The sequence below is a fragment of the Homo sapiens genome, chromosome 12 (assembly GCF_000001405.40).
Source record: "Homo sapiens chromosome 12, GRCh38.p14 Primary Assembly".
Lineage (NCBI taxonomy): Eukaryota > Metazoa > Chordata > Mammalia > Primates > Hominidae > Homo > Homo sapiens.
In genome coordinates, this window is record NC_000012.12 from 97784557 (window position 1) to 97802457 (window position 17901).

General features: G+C 38.0%; 1 annotated feature.

Moving 5' to 3' along the window:
- Positions 294-917: an enhancer, noted in NCBI's record as "OCT4-NANOG hESC enhancer chr12:98178628-98179251 (GRCh37/hg19 assembly coordinates)". NCBI's record gives its function as "activates a minimal SCP1, AML or CMV promoter by ChIP-STARR-seq in primed H9 embryonic stem cells {active_cell/tissue: H9 hESC(primed)}" and the evidence as "EXISTENCE:reporter gene assay evidence [ECO:0000049][PMID:30033119]".

Sequence of the window (17901 nt, forward strand, 5' to 3'; positions counted from 1 at the left end):
TCTATTCTATACACAATGTTGTAAAAATTCAAAATGAATATAATCAAAGAGCATCCAGCATAAAAGTGTGATTATAGGGAGAAGGTAAGAAGATAGCACAAACAAATGCACGTTTTTCAAACAAATGCACGTTTTTCAAACAAATGCACGTTTTTCCATATTTCGTTTCTGATGTTTGGATATCATGCATTTGTTTTCCCTGTAGAGATATTAAGCTGCCAAATGAGAGTATGGGGGAAGTCTACATAAAACATATCTCTCTTTTTATTACATTTTAAAAGGCTGTCTGTTTTTCTATTTTGAAATTACTTATTACCTAAGTTATGCCAAATCTTTTCATTGCCCCTCAAATGGTCCAAATATAATCCTATAAAGTGCAGACAGATACAATTTAATGCCCCAGATTTCTACTTCAATTTATTTTTTAAAATTGCTTATATTTAATTCTTCTTATTAAGCCCATGACTACTCAGTAATCCATTTATCACCTGCATTGGGCTCACACTGGGGGCTCAGCATTTGACCCAGATTCCTGTTTTGTTTTTGTTTGCCTGAATGTGTTATGGCCAAACCTAAATTAGCAAAACAAAAGATTAAACTTAGGGACAAAATTTCAAATTCTTAACTTCACAGGAAGTCTTTGTCTGTCCCCCTAAGAAAGTAAATAAATGAAGACATAAGCTAGGAAGACATGTTAAAATGAAATGATGGCTGCATTTAAGAATCAAGGTCAGCTCTTGGTTTACAGTGACAATGTGCACATATATGTACATATTGTTTCCACAGTCCTCTTCCTGGGGGAGATTTATGGCCTCTGATGGCTGTTCTGAATTAAGCAAATTGTCTGAACACATCAAATATTAAAAAATTCAATATCCACAATTTTTCATGGATCATAAATGTGCTAAAGTTAATTCTCCCAAGCTCAATGATTATATTTTAGCAGATCTATGTATGTGAAAACTTCCATAATAGAAAAAAATAAATCATTTCATAATTTTACCCTATGATAAGGTAATGATAATGATATGTCCTAATATTTGTTGCACTGATCATGTGGCTGGCCATTTTATATTCATTATCTCGTCTGATTTTCTTAACTACCCTATGAAGTGGGTTGAATGAATAGGACTTTGGGATATAATCATGAGCATCTTTATTTGTCTCCCCATGTTCCCTTAAAATTTGTACAGTGTCTTAGTCCATTTGTGCTGCTATAAAAATACTTGAAACAGGGTAATTTATAAACAACAGATTTTTTTTTGTCATAGTTCTGGAGGCTGGGAAGTCCAAGTTCAAGACCCCAGCAGGTTTGGTGTCTGATAAGAGTTGCTTTCTGTTTCCAAGATGTGACTTGTTGCTGCATCCTTTGAGAGGATAACTGCTGTGTTCTCACATGGCAGAAGGATGGAAGGGCACAAGGGCGTAGCTAACCTCCTCCAGCCCTTTTATGACTCTCATCCATGAGAGCAGAGCCCTTATGACCTAATCACCTCCTAAAAACCCACCTCTTAATATTGTTAATTGGGGATTAAGTTTTAATATAAATTTTGGAGAGGTTGAAACATTCAAACTGTAGCATAGTGAGAAAGTTCTTAGGACTCTTCATGGAAATGTAATCAGGCCCCATATTTTCTTCTGACTTCTCTTAAGGAAGCACAACTCCTACAGTCACTTTAAGCCACAAAATATAACCTCAATTTTAGTATCTAGTTTATGAGGAATATTTGAAGTAAAAACTACTTTCTTCTGAGTCCAAAAAATCTCATAATTCACATGTAGCATTCCAACCCAGAGCTACTTGCCCATCTGGTCATTCTTATAGGATAGGATCCGAGTAAACCACCATGCCTGAAAACACTCATAACTTATAAAAAGTAGCTTAGATCCAATATTTATTAGATGCAAAAAGTATATTTATAAGGTAAGCTAAGGTATAATGACTAACAGGACAAAAAGCTCCTATGTATACAACATTAGTGTAAGAAATAGAACATTCTGTGTGCCCTTCCTAGTGCCATTATGGTAATGCATCTTTGTGATGGGTATCTGTACTTCATCCATTATCTCTATATTTTATTGTATGAACTTATTATAATTTCTCTATTTTACTACTACTGGACATTGTACTGTTAAATTGCATTTTCATGATTATTGATGAGATTGAGCATCTTTTCACATCTTTATATTTCATTCTTATTACCTCCTCCTCTGTCTTTTGTGTATTTTTTTTTTATCAGATTGATTTTTGGTTCTTTCTCCCTCTTTCGCTGTGTGTGTGTGTGTGTGTGTGTGTGTGTGTGTGTGTGTGTGTATTTCCTGGTCCTTAACCCTTTCACAATTATGGCTATTGATATTTTATGTCAATGCATAGCTTATCTTTTTATTTTGCTTATGATTATTTTTAATAAAGAGGTCTTAAACCTAATGCAATCAAATGTATCAATAATTTTCTTTCTGCTTTGCATTTTTTGCTTTGTTTAACAATTCTTCTTTATCCCAAGATTGTAAATATATTTTCTTATATTGTCTTCTAAAAGTTTGATAATTTTGCCTTTCATATTTAAGTCTATAATCCAACTGCAATTGATTTTTGTGTATGGTGTGATATAAAAGCTCAGTGTCATTTTATCCATATGAATGACTCTCCCAAAACCATTTATTGCAAGATCCATCCTTTCCTCACTGTTCTGTAAAGCCAGATCTATCATTAGATTTCCACATATTTGTGAGTCAGCTTGGGGAGTTCTATATTCTGCTCCATTGATCAATTTGTCTGTCCTTGCAATAATGATACATTATCATAATTACCATAGCTTAAAAATAAGTTTAGACAATTTGTATGCCATTCAGCCACAAAGAGTTTCTCCTTCAGGAATATTTTGGACATTCCTGGATGTTTGCTTTTTCATCTTAATTTTAGAACCAATGTATCACAGTTCCCACATACACAGAATGAAACTAAACAAAATAAAACACCCTGTCAGGACGGTGATTGTGATTATTTTAAATCCATAGATTCCATGATGCAATCTATCCATTTTATTATTAATTAATAGTAAAATTATTAATATTATTATGGAATTATTAATTCCATGATTAAATCATGGGATCTGTGGATTTAAGATAACTGCAATCACAGTCCTGACAGAGTGATGTCCTCACCTTGCCTTTATGACATGTCTTCTTATCAATGTCAACCGGGCAAGTCCTTCTTTCTTAACTATGGTTTTTGGTGTTGGCTTGATTCGATGGGGTTATTAATTTTTCCATAATATTCCATTATGAAAAACAATTTCCATTAATTCCAAATTTTAGAGTGTTAATTGAGTTCCTGGAAAAAAAAATTCAACTAAGATTTTATTGGGATTGCAAAATTGTGGGTAAATTTAGGGGAGAATTTACACCTTTATATTAGGTGGTACCATCCAAGAGCATAAATGTCTTTTTATTTACTTAGACTATCTTTTTATTTTTAATTTAAGATCTAAGGTCTTCTCCATAGATTGTATGTGTTCCTGTTTAAGGAATGCTTGTTGCTGTTGATGGCATTTAATTTTTTTATTATACTTTAAGATCTGGGGTCCATGTGCAGAACCTGCAGGTTTGTTACATAGGTATACAAGTGCCATGGTGGTTTGCTGCACCCATCAACCTGTCATCTGCATTAGGTATATCTCCTAATGTTATCCCTCCCCTAGCCCCCATGCCCTAACAGGCCCCAGTATGTGATGTTCCCCTCCCTGTGTCCATGTGTTCTCATTGTTCAGCTCCCACTTATGAGTGAGAACATGTGGTGTTTGGCTTTCTGTTTTTAAGTTAGTTTGCTGAGAGTGATGGTTTCCAGCTTCATCCATGTCCCTGCAAAGGACATGAACTCATCCCTTTTTATGGCTGCATAGTATTCCATGGTATATACGTGCCACATTTTCTTTATCCAGTCTATCATTAATGGACATTCGGGTTGGTTCCAGGTCTTTGCTATTGTGAACAGTGCCACAATAAACATATGTGTGCATGTGTCTTTATAGTAGAATGATTTATAATCCTTTGGGTATATACCCAGTAATGGGATTGTTGGGTCAAATGGTATTTCTAGTTCTAGATCCTTGAGGAATCACCACACTGTCTTCCACAATGATTGAACTAATTTACACTCCCACCAACAGTGTAAAAGTGTTCCTATTTCTCCACATCCTCTCCAGCATCTATTGTTTCCTGACTTTTAATGATCGCCATTCTAACTGGTGTGAGATGGTATCTCATTACGGTTTTGATTTGCATTTCTCTAAGGACCAGTGATGATGAGCTTTTTTTCATGTGTTTGTTGGCCACATAAATGTCTCCTTTTGAGAAGTGTCTGTTCATATCCTTTGCCCACTTTTTGATGGGGTTGTTTGTTTTCTTCTTGTAAATTTGTTTAAGTTCTTTGTAGATTCTGGGTATTAGCCCTTTGTCAGATGGATAGATTGCAAAAACTTTCTCCCATTCTGTAGGTTGCCTGTTCACTCTGATGATAGTTTCTTTTGCTGTGCAGAAGCTCTTTAGTTTAATTAGATCCCATTTGTCAATTTTGGCTTTTGTTGCCATTGCTTTTGGTGTTTTAGTCATGAAGTCTTTAACCATGCCTATGTCCTGAATGGTATTGCCTAGGTTTTTTCCTAGAGTTTTTATGGTTTTAAGTCTTACGTTTAAGTCTAAAGACTTGAGTTAATTTTTGTATAAGGTGTAAGGAAGGGATCCAGTTTCAGCTTTCTGCATGTGGCTAACCAGTTTTCCCAACAGATGGTATTTAATTTTTATTAAATTTTCTGGTTGCTTATATTTTTTGTAGAAACGGCTATTAATTTTTGTGTTTTGGTCCTATATTTAGCCACCTTGTGAAAATATCATATTAGTCCTAATAGTTTTTCAGGTTATTTTACTTTATTGTCTTTCTTTTCTTCTAGCCTTTATTTCTTTTTCTTTCCTCACACATTGACAAGAACTCCAGTACCATGTTAATTAGTAGCAACAATATTGATATCACATCAAGCACTCCTACTCCTATCAAAACCCTTTTCTCTGAACTTGAGTTACAGGAGAAGGATTAGAAATAATACACAGAACATCAGCAGGTCTCTTTAGATCATATAGCTTGCAGTAGTTGGAGCTGTGACACAAGCCTGCATCATTTCATCCCAAAGACTTTGCTTGATCTTCAAGCAGATGTACTGTACTTACTACAATAAACACTAGACTTAATTCACTTCAATAAATATGTATTGATTATTTACTGGTAAAAATAAATATTATTCTAAGTCACTTTTGGTTTGTCTAAAATTTGTATTATAATTTCATTGTAGTATAATTACATTCATAAAAAATGAGAATAATATAATACAGTACTTCATTTCATCAATTCCTCAAAAAAAAATTAAAAACCCAAATTCTTGGAATATTCTCAGCTAGGAAACCCCTCAAACAGATTAGTTAACCAGAAGATGAAACAAGAACACTGCCATTTTTCAAAGTATTAAATTACCCAAGTGAAAGTCTAACATCAGTTTTATAAAAGGAATGTTTTACTTTTCACTTGAATAATAGACCTTAAAAGCTAAAAATTAGTCAATTCAAGTTTGCTCATCTTTCAGGGTTGTATTTGATTATTCATAATGAGAAGGCAGCACATTTGAAAGTAGACTATTAGAGGAAATAGAACTTTAAAAAATTTTTCTAGTGACTGCACAAATAAAGAACCTCATTAATGAAGATGACTCCATTAAAAAGTTGGCTTTAGACACACATCACATGCAGTTGTCATTTTTACCCCTTTGGGATCTATTTCACTTTCAGACACTTGCAAAACAAGTTTTATCCTCTTGCACTCAATCAGGATTCTAATCCCTTTGTCATCAAGTATTTGGAAAGTATTATAGGAGAGAAATGATTCAACAAACATTTATGAGGTACCAACTGGGCCATAGGTGTTGTGCAAGACACTCATGATATAGAGAAAAATGCAATCATCTCTCTCACTTGTCTCCAAAGCCAGAGAAGAGACATGAAATGAGCAGAGCCTTCCAACAGCAAGAGATAAGTACTGTAATCAAGGCCTGTTGGATGGTTAGAAAGTACAGTTACGTAATGTATTAAATATCTATTACTGCATACTGATATTACTACAAATTTAGCAACTTAAAAGCAATACAGATTTATTATCTTTCAATACTAAGGGATCAGGTTTGGGGGCATGTTTTGACTGTGTCCTTTCCAAAATCTTACAGGGCTACAATCAAGGTGTTGGCTTGGGCTGTGCTCTCCTCTGAGGTTTGACTGGGGAAGTATCCATTTCCAAGTTCACATAGTTGTGGTAGCATCAGTCCTTTGTAGGTGCTATAATTATGGCCTAATTTTCTTGCCAGGTGACAACTGAAGGATGTCTCCAGTTCCTTGCTATGTGGCACTTTCCAACATTACAGCTTGCTTCTTCAAAGTCAGCAAGGAAAAGAGAGACCCCAGCACGATAGGGACTGCAATCTTATGTGACATAATTGAGTGCATATAACCACTTGTTCTGTATGTCTAGAAGCAATTCACAGATTCCACCCATACTCAGGTATTGGTGGAGGATCACATCAGAGCATGAACACTACATAATGGGGGCAAGTTTAAGATTCTGTCTGACATAGATATCCTAATCTGGCCCTGGGTGCTAGCTGATGTCTGAAAACATGGATGAGCAGGACGAACATTCCAAACAGAATGCATATACTCAGAGTAAGAGAGCAAAGACTAGTTAGAGAAATGTAAATAGTCCTTGGACTGTTACATGATGGGGAGGAGGTGAGGCTGGGTTGAAAATGGATGGTAATCATAATGACTGGTGTTGAAGAACATTTACCATGGTCAAGTTCCTTTCAGAGAAATTTACATATCATGTTTTCCCTTAATTATCGTAATAACCCCATGAGGTTACTTCTATCATTATCCCCATTTTGGAGATAAATAGAAGTAGAAAGAAGTTAAGACATGTTTCCCAAGGGAGGTAAACAGAGACCAGGTTATAAATAACCTCATATCACTTGTCAAGGAATTTTTATTTTATCTTGATGATACTTATATATTTATTGGAGATTTGTTGGAGATTCAGGGAGAGTGTGCATGTGTTTGGGAGTGGTCAGTGAATTAGGATCAGGAAACAGTGCAGCTCGATTTTTAAGATATTGCAGTAATCTAAATAAATGCTGAGGGACTGGTCTGAGTCAGAGGCAGTGATCTTGGAGGAGACGGGCTAGAATTAAGAGATATTTATAAGGTTCAGTATCAAGGCACTAGTCTGATATGGGTGCAGAAGGGATTAGGTATGATTCCTAGGATTCTGATGGAGCAATTGAGTGAATGATTGCACCACTCACAAAGACAGGTTAACAGATGGAGGAGTGAGTTTGGAAGAAAGAGTAGATAGTGGGTTCAGTTAAGGAAATTTTAGTGAATTCAATTCTTGTTAAAGTAGGAAGTAAGGTCATTAGCTAATGTGGGGTGATTAGGGGACAGTAGCCAAGAGTGGAGGGCATCTGGAACTGTCACTGTGATGCACAAAATAGTAATTTAATCAAAGGTAAATAAAGTCGTGGCTGTATATGTAGAGACTAGGGAGGTTGGAGAGGTTGATCATGGCATCTTGGCTGAATGGGAGGAAAATAAAGCCAGAACAGTGAAGGGACTAGAAGAACTGGCAAAGCATTGACAGAGAATGGAAAGTTCACATAGAAAACAAAATCTAAAGCCCTCACCATGACCTACAGGTTCTACACAATTTTGGCCATGGTCATCTCTCCAAAAGTCCCAGCTTATTCATTGACTAGTATAATAAGTATGATCCTACTGTATGGTGTTTGCAACAGCTGTTCCCTCTACCCAGATTACTCTTTCCCAAGATATCCCCATGGCCCCACCAACTTCCTTCAGAATTCTCTTGCTATGTTGCCTCCTCAAAGTGTCCTTGCTTGATCCCTTATTTAAAATAGCCCCTCTTTTCACTACCCATCCCCTTGCTGACTTTTATTTTTTATGTTTAGCAATGATCACTATGAGCCACTATATGTAATTGCCCAATGGGTTCTTTCTGCCCATTGCACAGATAAAATCAATCCACTGAGACTACAACATTAGTTGACTTGAGGCCAGCCCATGTGAGAGAACTGGAATTATCACTCAAATCAATCTCCCTGAAGGATCAGAGGTTAGGGATCTTTATGGACAATTTGGTGGGCAGGGGCTAGGGAATGGGTGCTGCTGATTGGTTGGGAAATGAATCATATGGGTGTATAAATGGTCCTCATATGATGAGTCCATCTCTGGGTGGGGCCACGTGATCAGTTGAGTCATGGGTCATGAGTCCAGATGGGGTCAGTCTGAAAAACATCTCAAACAAACCAATATTAGATTCTACAATAGTGATGTTATCTGTGAGATCACTTGGGAAATTCACAAATCTTGTGACCTCTGGCCACATGACCCCTGAACAGTAAGGGATTATAGAAACTACGCCTATGGTTTATCAGAGTTTAGGCCCTTCTCATAATCCTAACCTTGTGGCCTGTCATTAGTTTTACAATGGTAGTTTAGTTTTGGGAAGAGTATTATCATCTTCACTTTAAGGTTAAGCTATGAACTAAATTCCTCCCAAAGTTAATTAGGCCTATGCCCAGGAATGACCAAGGAAAGCTTGGAGGTCAGAAGCAAGATGAAGTCAACTGTCAAATTTCTCTTACTGTTGTAATTTTGGCAAAAGTGGCTTCATATGTTATGTACTTATTGTCTCTTTATTTTCAATCTCTCCCACTAGGCTGTTAAGGCAGAGAGAATAACAACTTTACAATATCTTTGATTAAGTAAGTCTTGCATATAATTAACCAAATGATTTTAATGTACAGTGAAAATTCTTGTAGTGACTCATCTCTTCAGTCCCTCTTCCCTAGAAGATAGCCACATTTATTAAATTCTCGTCTGTCTTTTCAGTTACCCTATAGAAGTATAAGCAAATATGAATATATGCTCTTAACTTTCTTCTTCTTTTTTTGCAGAATAGAGAATTCATTAAACATATCACTGGGCTACTGGCTTTCTCCGTATTGCAGTTTTCTCTCATCAATGCATACAGAAAGTCTTCAGTTTATTTTTGTTTTGGGGATTTGGAGGTTGTGGATTGTTCAATTTACAGTGGCATAATGTTTCACTAAATACCATAGTTTGTTTAACTAGACCTCCACTAATGAGCATTTGGGTATTTTCTAATTTATATCTCTTTATTCAATGAATAACCTTATATATACATTATTTTGTCTATGTACAAATATAGCTGCAGAAGAAATTCCCTAAAGTGAGAAAAAGGCTACATACATGTGAAATTCGGTAGATAATGCCAAATTGCTCCCCATCGGGATTCTACCAATTTATACTCCCACCAGCCATGTATAAAAGTTCCTGTTTCCTCACAGCCTTGCTAAACAAAGCTGCAAAACACGGGTCTTATCAATCAGTGAATTTTTACCAGTCTGAAAGTTAAAAAAAAAAAAAATGACATCTTAGTATAGTGTTTTGTTTGTATTTTGCTAAGTATGAGTGAGGCAGAGATTTCTTCCTTATGTAAAGAGCTTTTATATATTTACATGCATTTTTCATTTCTAGAAACTGTCTGTTCTTTTCTTTTATGAAAAAGACTGTCTATTTTCCCCACTGTATTCTCAGCATTTAGGACAGTACCTAATCTATAGTGAGCTTGTTAAATATTTGCTGAATAAATGGCTATGACAAGGGTGAAATTCTAGGCTACAGAGGTGAAGGAAAGAAAAGGTGGAAGCAGGACGGGAAAACTTTAAGACCATGGTTGTGGTGGTGGAGCAGTTTGAAATAATGATGTGCTTTTTTAGGTGTTACCATGGCAGCAGAGGTCATAGCCACAAAGATCCTTATAACAGAGAAACATGACACCAAGGGATGAGACAGGTCATCAGCATAGATGAAGACATGAAATAAAACGTCACACTGCTCTGGGCAGAATGTGCATCTATGAGCCTGCTAAAGGATGCAGATAAAAATGACGTTGTCATTATAATCGGGCATCCCATTGACTTCACCCAAGATGATCCCCTGGGCACCCAATCCTTCCTGCTTTGGGTCTAACTGCACTCCTCATCCTCTCACTCTCCTGTTATTTTTCATTCTGTCTCTGGCTTGGCTACCTTAGTTTATTAACTCTTCTGCCCTTGGATGCACTCCCTCACCTGTCTCTCCACTCCTTCTCCCTATTGTTGTTCATACTCACCCTCTCTCCTTCCCTCTTGGACCCAGAGTTCTGGAACCTGCCCCTCTCCCTGCCTTTTGCCCAGAGGGTTGGCTCTTGGATACAGAAAATAAATTTTATTTTTTTCCCTGCTCTTGTCTTTCATTAGCAAATGGAATCATTTGTAATTACCAAAGCTGCATGTTGGCAAATTCCTCTCTCGCAAAAATGTGGACAGCTGTCATAGAAAATGACTATCTAAAGTAAGATGACTCTTTAACAAATTGGGGTATGACAATCATGAAAATGAAAGTGTACCCTTCCAGTCTTTGTGAAGCAACTTATCTGTTTTGAAGTCTTTTTATAGTGTCACTGTGTTTTTAGTAGATATTTCTTTTGTTCACTCTTTATGTTAGGAAAAACAATTCTATTACTGCAAATTCAATTGAATTTAGCAACAATTTATTGAGCACCTAGTAATGTTCCTAGCACTGTGCTAGAAGTTGTGGGGAAAACAGATGAAGTGTATGATGTACCCTTGCCCTCGAGGAGTATAGGATTCTAGCAAGAAACAATATGTATGCAAATAATCCAATTAGCCTGGAAACCCACAGAGTTCAAAAATGAAAAAGTCTAGAATAAAATAAGTCAACTGCATATAAGTTATACCAGTGCCTGGTTCATGGTAGGACCTCAATAAGTCATTTAATTAGTGCAAAAAATGGACAAAATGGGTGGGACCAACTCTTACTAAAAAGATGAAGAGGAATCAAAAGCTGCTGGGGTTTCTGCTGTGGCTTCAAGGATGTGGTAAGATGTTAGGTAATATCATATCTGAAGATTACATTTCAGATATTATGAAAGTGATAAATGAAGGTGACTTTTCAGTGGAGAAAAAAAAGGAAGGACACTGACCGATTATCCAGTTAGCTGGTAGGTGTCTTACAAGAGAGAAGATTTAGTAAGCTTTTAGAATTATTTCTTCTTACTCACTGTAGAGATGTGTCAAAACCGACATGATTCACTCCCAAAAGGGAGAGCGATGCTTTTCAAAGCACCATTGTATTAGTCTATTCTCACACTGCTATAAAGGAATACCCAAGACTGGGTAATTTAAAAAGGAAAGAGGTTTAATTGACTCACAGTTCTGTATTGCTGGGGAGGCCTCAAGAAACTTACAATCATGGCAGAAGGCACTGTTTCACAAGGTGGCAGGAGAGAGAATGAGTGCCAAGCAAAGGGGGAAGCCCCTTTTAAAACCATCAGATCTTGTGAGAACTCACTCATTATCATGAGAACAGCATGAGGGAAACCACTGCCATAATTCAACTATCTCCACCTGGTCTTGGCCTTGACACATGGGGATTATTACAATTTAATGTGAGATTTGGGTGAGGACACAGAGCCAAATCATATCAACTGTACATTGAAGAGTTTCCCAAATTGGGAGAGAAGAAGGGCTCCTGTGGCCACTGATAATCCATAAATACCCATCAGAACAGTTGATATTTTTAGCCAATGACAGAACCTCCTTCAGGGCTCAAAGATAGACAATATTATTGGAGGACATCTGTTTTTTAAAAAAAAAACTTCATGACTTCAAAACAAGGAGTTTGGGGGAAACTAAATTTAGTGTCTCAGGAGATAACCTGGCAATGTGATTGAGTGTATTTCATTGAAATTATTTTCAAAGAGAAGGTCAAACTCTCTTGCTCAAGAAACAACATAGAGACACTGTTTTTCTCCTTTCAATCCAGTCAATCACCAACTATCATCAAATCTATCTTCTGATAAATCCCTGGAATCTTCTCACTCTCCACCCTTCTCATTCTTATTTCTTCTGTAAAATTCTCCATAGTTCTTACCTGCCTAGCTGCCAGGGCTCCTAAGTGGATTCCCTGTCTTCAGTTAGAATCTTTCAGTCTAACCTCCACATTGCAGCAGAATAAATTCTAAGGAGCAAATCTGACACATCATACCCCCGCTTAAACCTGTTCAGATCTACTATCTTGTGGATAAATTTCACACTATAAATGGTGATAGTTAAGGCCACTAGTGATTTATCTCTTTGCCCTACCTCCAGCACCATCTTTCAGCATACCCCCAAACCTTTCCCAGGCATATGGAACTGCTTGTTGATCCCTCAACTAGCAGCGCTTCCTCCTAATTCTGAATGTAAGTTATCTTCCAATATTGGCCCTGACCCACAAGTCTTCTGATGCTCTTATCCAAGAAACTCTTCCTTGTCATTGAGGACTCATTGTGGCAGTTGCTCTGAGGAGCTTGTCTTGGCAGAATCCCCACTGCCGAACCAATATTGGCTATTCATTAGTACCTACTGCCTCCAGGCTCCCATTGTACTCTGTACTTCCCTCTGTGGCATGTATCATACTCTGTCTTAATTGTTGTTTATCACTCTATTGCCCCAACAGCCCGAAAGGTTCTTAAGACCAGGATAGCCTCATTCATCTTTGTACTCTGAGAATCTCATATATACCCGGCACAGTTCTAATGGACACTCAATAAATAGTTAACTTTCAAAATACGATACCCATTACAAAAGGCAAGGTGAAAAAATTCACTAGAAAACTCATGTTTGCAAAAAACCGATAGTTGCAACCCTGTGGTATCATTCAAGAAAGTGCAGGTGGGGTGCACAGGGTGGGGTTGGGTATAAAAAGTCTATGAGTTCAAGGCTGCCAAGGAGCTGAAGACTCAGCCAAGAACAATTTTAGGTTCTTATTTTCCCAGCAAGGCAGCAGCTGGTGCCTGGCAGAAGGGGAATGGTGTTGCCATGTCACTGAACAGCAATCGTGGAGTGGCCAGAGAGCCAGCAGCCTAAATACTCTTCCCTGAGCCAGAACAGGGCTGTAGGGAAAAAGTGGTAGCTCAGTGAGCATCAGCTGGAGAAAGCAGCAGAGGCTATGGTGGCTCCTGGCAGCGAACTGCTTACCCAGGCGAACACTGTAATTAAGACTAATAGGGCATGAGGCCAGTCTGAGAGGCTAAATACCCAAAATTTAGAATGTAGCTAAACAAACACACTGTTTATAAAATCTCCCAGGCAAGAAACCTGAAAATCATCTTTCCTTTGCTTCCCACCACCTACATCCAGCCAGTCACCAAACCTTCATGATAGCATGTAATATATGTCTAAAGATTTCTGCTCTTTCCATCATTCTTTTCCCCATCCTTTATCATTTAAATCTAGACTATCCTTAACAGCCTACTAATGGGTTTCCATGCACCAATAAAATTCCTTCAATCTATCCTCCATACTCCTGGAATTTATATTTCTGTAGAAGTTAAACAGAGTCATGTCACCTTCCTTTTTAAGGATAATTTTGCATCTCTAATTGCCTATGAATAAAGGCCTATTGTTTAGCATTCTTAAGAAACTGAATGCCAGTTTTCTCATTTGTAAAACAGGAAAACAGTACCTACCTCATAGAACTCCGAGGATTAAAGGGTTTAATATATATGAAGCTTAAGAATTGTGTCCAGCATGGAGCAAGGATTATAATAAGTTAGTTATTATCAATAGTATTATTTTTTATCAGGATTTCCTCCAAGATTTCTTATGATCTGGTCCAATCTCATTGGATAAACAAGAAAATATATATCAATGCAGACACTGGACTCACTGGTCTGAATTCAAATCTAGAAAGACACTAGCTGCATAATATTAGGCAAGATACCTAAGTCTCAATTTTCTCATATATAAGACAGGAATTATAGTAGTTTCCACCTTAATGGATTTTTTTGTTTTGCTTTGTTTTCTTGTTTTGAGATGGAGTCTCTCTCTGTCACCCAGGCTGGAGTGCAGTGGCGCAATCTCAGCTCAATGCTACCTCTGTCTCCCAGGTTCACACAATTCTCTGCCTCAGCCTCCCAAGTAGCTGGGATTACAGGTGCCCATCACCACGCCTGGCTAATTTTTTTGTATTTTTAGTAGAGACGGGGTTTCACCATCTTGGCCAGGCTGGTCTTGAACTCCTGACCTCGTGATCCACCCGCTTTGGCCTCCCAAAGTGGTGGAATTACAGGCATGAGCCACTGCGCCCGGTCAATGAATTATTTTGATAAGTTTAATGCAGAAGGAAAGGTTGGCAAAGGTGATCAAGAAGGAGATGCCTAAGAATTAGGAGGAGAAACAGGAAGGAATATTCTTCCAAATGCCAAATAAAAATAATTTGAAGAAGAATATGGTTGAAAGCTTTAAATGTTCCAGAAGAATCCAGCTGAGTGAAATTTCAAAAGAAGTCTTAGATTTGAAATAGGAAGAGTAAGGACCTCAACAAGAACAGTGTTGGAAAATTAATGCGGAGGGAAAGTAATTTCAATGGCTCAGGGAAATGGAAGGTCACAGTAATGTGTTAGAAAAAAGTTGCTTGGAAGCCAGGTTTTCCTGAGATTCTTTTGAGTATCTACAACTTCTGGAAAAACAGGTGTATATAAAAGTTGAGTCCTCAAATCTCAGGCTCAAGATTTGCCACTGACTAAGAAATGAGCAATATGAATCCTAACAAACACATGCCAGGTATAGCATTACTGTGTGTCAGCCTTTGGTTTAAGTGCTTTCAGTATATTCTAATAATCTAATCTTCACAACCCTGCTATTCCTGTTTTGTGTGTGTGTGTGTGTGTGTGTGCGTGTGTGTGGTTTTTTGTTTGTTTGTTTGTTTGGAGATGGAGTCTTGCTCTGTCACCCAGTTTGGAGTGCAATGGTGCGATCTCACTTACTGAAACCTCCACCTCCTGGGTTCAAGGAATTCTCCTGCCCCAGCCTCTTGAGTAGCTGGGATTACAGGCATGTGCCACCATGCCCAGCTAATTTTTGTATTTTGAGTAGAGATGGGGTTTCACCATGTTGGCCCAGCTGGACTTGAACTCCTGACCTCAGGTGATCCTCCCGTCCAGGCCTCCAAAAGTGTTGGGGTTACAGGCATAAGCTGCAGGAATATGGCCAGGCATGAGCCACTGCCTGATAGAATTAGGATTTAGAACCAGTTAATCTGGCTTCAGACATACTGTGTCTGTTCATATGTTACAGCCCTTAATTCAATTCAATTTAACAAATAATTTTTAAATGTCTGTCTAGTGCCAGGTACTGCTAAAGGCTCTTGGGGATGCATTAGAAAACAAAAAAGACAGCAAGGTGTGGTGGCTCACGCCTGTAATCCCAACACTTTGGGAGGCTCAGGTGGGCAGATCACGAGGTCAGGAATTCGAGACAAGCCTGGCCAACATGGTGAAACCCTGTCTCTACTAAAAATACAAAAATTAGCCAGGCGTGGTGGCGGGCACCTGTAAACTCAGCTACTCAAGAGGCTGAGGCAGGAGAATCCCTTGAAACTGGGATGCAGAGGTTGCAGCGAGCTGAGGTTGCAGCGAGCTGAGATTGCACCACTGCATTCCAGCCTGGGCAACAGAGCAAGACTCAATTTCAAAAAAGAAAAAGAAAAGAAAAAAGACAATGACATACCTTGCAGACACCAAAACTTTAAAAATACACCTGACTTAAAGGCCTTAATCTACCCTTTTTTACTTTTTATGTCATCCAGTGTGGGAAACATGTGAAGAACATGCCATCATGTCAAGAACATGCCATCATGTCCAGGGATGGCCAACCTTCCTATTTAAGGAAGCTGTTTTTCTTTTTTTTCACCTGTCAAAAAACATTTTGAGTGGTGGAATCCTGCAAAGAAGCTGTATTGGGGTGGTAGTTGATTTGGTATGAGAGTGGTTTCCAGATGCCATTGGCTATTGGCAATTTTGCTAACTTATTTGTTACCTTAGACAAAAGTATGTATTCTCAGTGGTTCCTAGCTATATGGGGACAGTCACAGGCCGTTGTGACTAGGGTCAACCCTCAGAAAACTTGCTTCCCTGACCATGCCTGGAGATAGATTCTCTCTCTGTATTGCACCACTTCCTGTACCTTTTATCTAATAACACTTCCGCTCCAGCAAATGGCTTCAGTTTTCTATTGCAATAATAGCTTAGTTGCTCAAGGACAAGTTCTCTTTGAGCTTTTGATCCTCCCCTGCTAAATTCTTAAACTTTAGTTTTTCTTAGTTATCAGAAGTGAAATCAACGCCTAATCCTCTCAAAACTGCTTTATGAAACCTGCCCTGGTGTTTTTCCACACGCCAGGAATTATGCTGTCTGCTTCCACATTGAAGTGTGCACTGTATTCTTTATTCAACTTACTTCTTCTTCCCCTATGAACTTATTCTTCTCCTTCCCCAGGGTGGTCTTTTGATCCTTGGAACCTAGAATGGCAACTGGCACATAGCTATTTCTTAACTTTTAATAAATTATAAAGAACCTGATATAGTACCCACCACGTCATGGTTCTCACTAAGTAGTGTCTCTTGAGTGTATGAATAAATGAATGAACAAATGAATGAATAAACAAACATAGATGCTAGATGTTTCCATCAGGGACTAAAATGCAGGAGCTGTTAGTATGTCCAAGGAAGACCTGGTGGGTGGTATTCTTTAAAATCAATAGAAGAAACTGGGTGGTTTTTTGTTTTTTTTTTTTTTTAATGTTTAAAAGAAAAGAGAAAATGATCAGTCGACTTGAAAAGCAACTACTTTACATAATAATGTTATTAATGTTGTAAGGAATACTGGGCCCATTTGTTGTAAAATGACAACCATTTCACAGAAATTGCTTGGGGCCAGTTTAGGGGATGAAAAGTGTTCATTTTCCCTGTGTGCTTTCATGCGCCATCCCCAGAGACAAAGCAGAGACAAAGAGCTAACTCAGATCCTGTTTGGAAGGACTGGTACATTATTAGGTACTCCAGTTTCTTTCCTTAAAAGCCTTGAGGCTTGGAATTGACCACACAAAGGACACACTTCCACAGTGTATCACCTGCAACTGGCCAAAACTTACAATGCATGAGAAAGAGGAATCTATGGAAGAAGCCACAGGAAGACAAGAGAAACCTCAGTCACAGGAGAATATAGCAGAGCTGCATGATGTCACCAGTTGCCCATGAGAACCCAAGAAATAGGAAAAGGCGGGCCTCTGTAATAAAGGGAAACTGTAGGTCAAAATGTAGGCAGTTGCAGCCATCCAGGACCCAGAAAATCTTGCCTTTGCCTTTCTCACGCGTTCTCTCTGATGCTCAGGGTCTTCCCTTTAGAATTCATTTTCTTTATTTTTTCACTCTTTACCCAATTTGACTACCTGACTCTCAATTTTGCAATTCCCGTCTTGACCTATGACTCTAGCCTCAGCCAGTTTCTAACTAATTGGTCCTTGCTCTTAGAAATCAGATGCTGTGTTCACCTCTCCAGTCTTTGACTGTTTCAGGCCATCAGCTCTCCCACACTGCTCTTTCCCCAACTTACATTTCAGCTGGAGCTTGACACCAAAGGCAAGTCATTTAAGCATTTTCTTTCTCTCAGCCCCTAATTGTTTACTTTCTGTCAAGAAAAATAATCTTCAGGCCCGAGAAGGCAGAACTTATACTGAGAATAGGGAAATGACTGAGCCCAGAACAGATAAAAGAATATAAGGGAGGAAGTAAGATATATAAAAATAATATTTTAATTTATTTATACTCTATTTTTTAAAAATAGACTTAAGGTCATTTTCAGACACAAAAAGAGCCTTT